Source organism: Homo sapiens, chromosome 7 (genome assembly GCF_000001405.40).
Source record: "Homo sapiens chromosome 7, GRCh38.p14 Primary Assembly".
Lineage (NCBI taxonomy): Eukaryota > Metazoa > Chordata > Mammalia > Primates > Hominidae > Homo > Homo sapiens.
The window spans coordinates 65,072,855-65,079,955 of record NC_000007.14 but is presented as its reverse complement, the minus strand read 5'-3'; the positions used below and the strand labels follow the sequence as shown (position 1 = coordinate 65,079,955).

The window sequence follows — 7,101 nt, the reverse complement described above, 5'->3', positions numbered from 1 at the left end:
GGCCAAGGCAGAAGGATTGCTTGAGCCCAGGAGTTCGAGACCAGCCTGGGCAACAGGGCAAAACCCTGTCTCTATCAAAAGCACAAAATAAGCTGGGCATTATAGTGCACACCTGTAGTCCGAGCTACTCAGGAGGCTGAGATGGGAGGATGGTTTGAGCCCGGGAGGCAGAGGCTGTATTGAGCTGAGATCATACCACTGAACTTCAGCCTGGGTGACGAGCCAGACCCCGTCTCAAAAAAAAATAATAACAATAAAAATAAATTCATATAGTTTGGTATGGTTTAGTAAGTTTCAGCAGGCAGATTGTCAGGGTAAGATGGATTGTTATATATACATTTATATATATAATATGTATATTTATATACTTATTTATTTTAGCAGAGATAGGGTCTCCCTATGTTGCCAGGCTGGTCTTAGACTCCTGAGCTCAAGCAATCCTGCCTCGGGTTCCTAAAGGAAGCTCACATTGGAGGTGTGAGCCACCACACCTGGCCTATAAGGGGAATTTAAGGGACTCTCTACTATGATGTCCCTTCTCCCAATCCCTTTCCGCATGTAGAAGAGGGTTCTGTTGAGTGACTGGCATTTGCTTATATTTCTCAGTGCTATGCCCAGTGTAATGGAAAAGGCACAGACTGGCTCAAGAGCCCAGGGATTTCAGTTCCAGGCCAAGCTCATCCACTGACTGACAGAGTCAGTCAAACTTGTTTGGATTTCAGATTCTTCATCTGAATAACGTAGATAACACTTATCCCATAGTACACTGCAAAGATGACACGTGACAGTGAACAAGTTAGTTTCCGTTTAAATATTAAGAATTAGGCCAGGCGCAGTGGCTCACACCTGTAACCCCAACACTTTGGGAGGTCGAGGCGAGTGGATCACAAGGTCAGGAGTTCGAGACCAGCCTGGCCAATATGGTGAAACCCTGTCTCTACTAAAAATACAAAAATTAGGTGGGTGTGGTGGTGGGCGCCTCTAATCCCAGCTACTTGGGAGGCTGAGGCAAGAGAGTCGCTTGAACCCGGGAGGCAGAGGTTGCAGTGAGCGAAATTGCGCCACTGCACTCCAGCGCCTGGGTGACAGAGTGAGACTCAGTCTAAAAAAAAGAAAGGAAAAAAGAATGAGATTAGAGAGGGCCTTCATTCCTCCTGGAAGAACACCTGATGTACCTGAAATCTTTGTTGGTGACAGGAAATATGTCGATAGCATAGGGTTTCACTGTTGCCTCCCACACAGGGCCTTCACCATCTCTGTCATCTGGAGAATTTGTTCCCATCAGGAATCTCCCACCTGGCAGTGGGACCATGCTAGTAGCCTGTCCATTTCCTGCAGATAAAAAAGAGAGGTATCGGTAATACATGCATATATATAAAACAAGTGGTAATATTTGGATCGTATGCAATACTCATGATGGTATGACAAAACAAAACAAAAAATGTGGAGGTTTAAAAATCTGGCTTTAAATTCCTTTTGCATTTTGTTTGCCTTCACATTCTTGTTCTGCCACTTAGTTTGATGGGAAACCTTAGGCAAATTTCTTAATCTGAGATTCAATTTCTTTTCTTTTTTCTTTTTTTTTTTGTGACGGGATCTCACTCTGTCACCCAGGCTGGAGTGCAGTCATGCAGTCTTGGCTCACTACAGCCTCTGCCCCCGTGGGCTCAAGCAGTCCTCCCACCTCAGCCTCCTAAGAGCTGGGACCACAAGTGTGCACCACCACGCCTGGCTAATTTTTGTATTTTTTGTAGAGATGGGGTTTTGTTATGTTGCCCAGGCTGGTCTCAAACTCCTGAGATCAAGTGATCCTTCCACCTCAGCCTCCCAAAGTGCTGGGATTACAGGTGTGAGCCAACACGCCCGGCTGAGATTCAATTTCTTCATCTGAAAAATGAGGATACCTATGGACAACTGTAGCTTGTTCATAAAAGAAAAAAAAAATAAGTATGAAAAATGGGGATACTATCTCACTATCTCTTAGGTAGTAGCTGTATCAATTAAAGTAACATGGAACCAGGTTCAATGGCTCAGAGACAGGGTGCAGAAGCGAAGGCAGGAGGATTGCTTGAGCCCAGGAGTTCAAGGTTGCGGTAAGCTATGATCATGTCACTGCACTCCAGCCTGGGTGACAGAGTGAGATCCTGTCTCAAAAAATAAAAAATAAAAAGATAGTAATAAAATAGCATGGGTGAAATGTTGCGCACATGATAGATTTGCACTTACCTCTTTCTTCCTCTACACAAACCCTTGCCCCAACTAGGCGAATTTAGACACTCTACCCTAAAATACATCTAGCACTTTCTACCCATCCTTCTGCTCATGCTGTTTCTCTGCCTCTTCCTCTCCATTTACTGAACTCTTACAGTTCTTGGTGATTCTCACCATTATATGCTCCAGAAGGGAAGTATATAATACATATATATTTTTGACAGTATATACCTGGTCCCTGCCATAAATGCGCAATGATTATCGCCAAATAGTTAAATGAGCACCTTTAGACTTGTTTGAATGCCTCAGAAATATCATAGAATTAAAAAGGACCGGCCAGGCATGGTGGCTCACGTCTGGAATCCCAGCACTTTGGGAGGCAGAGGTGGGCAAATCACCTGAGGTCAAGAGTTAAAGACCAGCCTGGCCAACATGGCGAAACCCCATCTCTATTAAAAATACAAAAATTAGGCTGGGTGCGGTGGCTCACACCTGTAATCCCAGCACTTTGGGAGGCCAAGGTGGGCGGATCACGAGGTCAGGAGATCAAGACCATCCTGGCTAACAAGGTGAAACCCCATCTCTACTAAAAACTACAAAAAAATTAGCTGGGCCTGGTGGCGGGCACCTGTAGTCCCAGCTACTCGGGAGGCTGAGGCAGGAGAATGGTGTGAACCCGGGAGGTGGAGCTTGCAGTGAGCTAAGATCGTGCCACTGCACTCCAGCCTGGGCAACAGAGCGAGACTCCATCTCAAAAAAAAAAAAAAAAAAGCCAGGCATGATGGTGCACACCAGTAATCCCAGCTACTTGGGAGGCTGAGGCAGGAGAATCACTTGAACCTGGGAGGCGGAGGTTATAGTGAGCCAAGATCGTGCCACTGCACTCCAGCTTGGGGGACAGAGCGAGACTCTGTCTCAAAATAAATAAAAAAGGGTCTGTGCTTCAAACTCCTTATTCCACAGGAGGAAACCAAGACCCAAAAAAGAAATATGACTTAAAGAGCTGGTTAGCAGCTGACAGGACTAGATTCGGGTCTCTTTACAGTACTGTTTCCAATAGGCCACACTTCTTCAGCTTGATGCACCACTTCAGTGTCTTTACAAGAAAGGATGTCTAAGCACTGTAACTTCTTTCAAGGCAGAGTCCTGGTCTTTTGATGTTCCTCAAGATCCTGTCTTTGGCTCTCTTATTCTGACACATTCACACTGATTTCATCCATTTTTTTTCTTTCTTTTTGTTTTTTTTTTTTTGAGGCAGAGCCTTGCCCTGTTGCCCAGGCCAGAGTGCAGTGGCATGATCTCGGCTCACTGCAACCTCTGTCTCCTGGGTTTAAGCGATTCTCCTGCCTCAGCCTCCTGAGTAGCTAAGACTACAGGTGCGTGCCAACACTCCCAGCTAATTTTTTGTATTTTTAGTAGAGATGGGGTTTCACCATATTGGCCAGGCTGGTCTTGAACTCCTGACCTTGTGATCCACCCGCCTTGGCCTCTCAAAGTGCTGGGATGACAGGCTTGAGCCACCGCGCCTGGCCTATTTTCAGTTTCTTCAACAAATATATCACCAAGGGGAAAAAATGGATCATCCTGGCATGGTGTCTCAGGCCTGTAATCCCAGCACTTTGGGAAGCTGAGGCAGGGATTGCTTGAGGCCACAGTGAGCTATGATGGCACCACTGCACTCCAGCCTGGGCAACACAGTGAGACCTTGTCCCCCCGCCCCACCAAAAAAACAAATAAATAAAAGGAGTAAGTAGGGAAATAATCAGATTGAATCAGAATTAAGAAATAACATACAATTGCAATGTATGAGCTTTATTTTGTCCCTAATTCAGCCAGCAAACGTTAAAAACCCTTTATGAGATAATAGATGAATTTGAACAGATTGGATATATTATTAAGCAGCACTGCCAGTTTTTTAGTTGAGAAAGGGTAATTATTTTTTCGTGACTTCTTTTGACTATTCCAGCTGAAGGTTTAGAATAAAATGGGTTATGTCTGGACCCACTTCAAAATGGCTCCAGGAGACGGGGAGAGTGCGATTCCACAGGAGCAGGACTGGCCACAAACTGGCAGCTCTTTAAGGTGGCCCACGAGTACGTGAGGGCAGGGGTCGTTCCTCGTTACATTCTCCTCTTTCCCTTTTTTTTTTTTTTGAGATGAAGTCTCGCTCTATCTCCCAGGCTGGAGTGCAGTGTCACAATCTCGGCTCACTGCAGCCTCCGCCCCCTGGCTTCAAGCGATTCCCCTGCCTCAGCTTCCTGAGTAGCTGGGATTACAGGCCTACGCCACCACGCCCGGCTGATTTTTTGTATTTTTGTGGAGACGGGGTTTCACCATGTTGGCCAGGCTGGTCTCCAACTCCTAACCTCAAGTGATCCACCCGTCTCGGCCTCCCAAAGTGCTGGGATTATAGGCATGAGCCACCGCGCCCGGCCTCTCTTTCCCTTTTATAAGTTTGAAAGATTCCAGAGCAAGAAGTTGAAAGCACAAGGCGGTGAGGCACCCTGCGCACCGAGAGCGACCTCCCCAGCCGGCGGCTGCAGGCGCATCCCGGAAGCGGGCAGAGGGGCCTCAGGCTCTCTCCCGCCAGGGCGGAGGGCCCCATCCCCTTTCCCAGCGCCCCCGGCGTGGCCGGCGGTTCAATGACCTAGCCTGAGCCACGCACCAACCAGGAGCGACAGCAGGGACAGCAGCGGTGATGAACAACCCATGCTGGCATCAGGACTGGCGCGCCACGCCGCGCACACCCACGGCCCCGCTGCTCATCCGCCCTCACGCACCACGGTGGCAGTCGCCTCCTCCACACATGCGCATGCTGCTCCACCACCGCCCCTCACCCAACGGTTCAGCGGGGGAAACTGACGGACACGAGGTGTAGGACTGGCCATACCACCTGCAAGGCTGCCCAGGGAAGTAAGGAAAAGCAGGTTGAGGGTCCCTAGAGGCCCCTTCACTACTTTTTGAACCTTTGGACAGCTTTCATTCCCTTTAAGATTGCTTCTGTGTGTCAAACCATTGCAAGACCACAAAGGAGGTTTCAACTTAACATTTATTTGCACACTCCAGGTCACTGCTGAGCCCCCAAAACCCACAGCCTAGTAACACCAACTTCACTTTCAAGGACCGCAGAGATAGACCAACTATATAAATCTTGTGGAAACATAGTAATTTGGGTGAGGAAACTATGACGCTAGAGGCTTTGGGATGAATATTTTGCATAAGCAAAAGTTCAGAAGCTTGAAAATATAGTCAGCCTACAAATCTCAAATTTCACCTGATAACCGTAGCCCTTAGCCACCATGCCTTCCAGCTCTCTCAACTCCCTTGCCTCTAGTTTACTCCTCTTCCCATTTCCTACAACTTTGTAGGGGGAGCATTTTAGCAAAGCTATTTCAAAAGCGTGAAAAGTCCAACTGATCAATAAATTTACTCAGAAATTTACACTAACGGGATGCTTCCAAAATTTTAAATTACTAAGCGTTATTTATATTAGCATAAAAATTTTAAAACCAGATGCTTAACAATAGGGTACTGCTGAATAATTTAACATATGTCCACATAAAATTAAACCATTAAAATCTGCTTTTTCAAGGAATATTTAATAAGGTAGGTAATATATGCTTATTTAACATGGAATTTTATGTCACTGCTGCTAAAGCAAAACATCCTGTTCACTGGGTGAAAGACCTGCTTTATCTGTGTACACTTCAGTGCAATTTTTAAAAAATACTGTAATTATAATTTCAGAACTTCCACAGATGCCAGTGTTCTCTCCTTTTTTCACATGGGAAAATTCCCTTGAAACTCATTTGAAGCTTGGACAAAAATTCCACAGCTGTATTCTTCAGGATCACTTTGCAGAGTCTTCAAGACTCAGATACAGAGGAAGCTTCAATTCAACCTTTCAGAGAAGACATTCCAGCTCGCATGATCTCATCAACCAAGAGAATGTTGGTGGCAATCAGTGCTGAAAGGGGGATAAAAATTAGATAGCTCAGATGATTAGGAGCCCTAATTCGACTCAACTTCCCACTTCCAACTAAGCTGCACACGTTAACATCCAATTAAATTTCCCCCTTCCCCTCTACACATCAGAGGGCGAGTTCGGTTTCCATACTTTTCAGCTGATTACATTATTCATGGGGGAAAATGAGCGACTAAACAGAAAACACCAAATGAAAAGAGTATGATGATTCTCTAACAGTTTAGTTTTCATTTTCCCAAACTTACCAGGAATGAAGAAGCTGTTTCTTTACACAATCGTTATCCCATAATGCCTGCTTCTGCTGCTACCACGGGCTCACCTAAAAGGCAACCAAAGTAAGTTCAGTCAATAAGAACCAACAATACTGTGTGTGGCTTTGCTTATCACCGATGACTCATTTCCTCCAGTATTAACTATGGGAATTCAAAGCTTCTCTGTTAGCCCAATTTTCTACTCTAAACCATGACCCCTGTCCACAATATTTGAGGAGTGTCTGACTTCTACTTAGAAGACCTGAACACCCCTCTCTCCTTCTGGATACATTTCTGTTTACCCATACTAAAGTACAGCACTGCAACTCTAATCTGGCTAAAATGGACTGATCATTTCCCTCATTCCAGAAATCTTTTTTATTAAATAATAATGTTGACAGCAATAGGTCTTGCACATACTGCATGGATGTACCTGTTATCTGTCTCCTACTTTGTACTTAATTTGTGTTGTTTTGTTACAGGGGCCTAAGATCAGGGCTGTCACCATTTCATTAGATTTCTAGATCCCCTCTTCTGGCATTATTTGCTATCTTTAGCTGTTTTTCACCCATGAATATAATCACCCAATCTATTTTCTTATCATAGTACTTGATTAAAAACTGAGTAAGGTGGCCGGGTGCGGTGCTTCACGCC

The 7,101-nt window shown here is 45.4% G+C and overlaps 1 pseudogene across 1 annotated transcript in view; it reads right to left on the bottom strand.

The window, feature by feature from the left end:
- Nucleotides 1-5,242: 5,242 nt before the first annotated feature.
- The window catches only part of CCT6P3 (chaperonin containing TCP1 subunit 6 pseudogene 3), a 36,360-nt pseudogene continuing 34,501 nt past the window's right edge, over nucleotides 5,243-7,101 (bottom strand). Inside the window, exons 10-11 of the transcript NR_033416.1 lie at nucleotides 6,442-6,515; nucleotides 5,243-6,178 (exon numbers count right to left, since the gene is read on the bottom strand). The product of NR_033416.1 is annotated as a chaperonin containing TCP1 subunit 6 pseudogene 3 (transcript). The remainder of the gene's footprint in view (nucleotides 6,179-6,441; nucleotides 6,516-7,101) is intronic.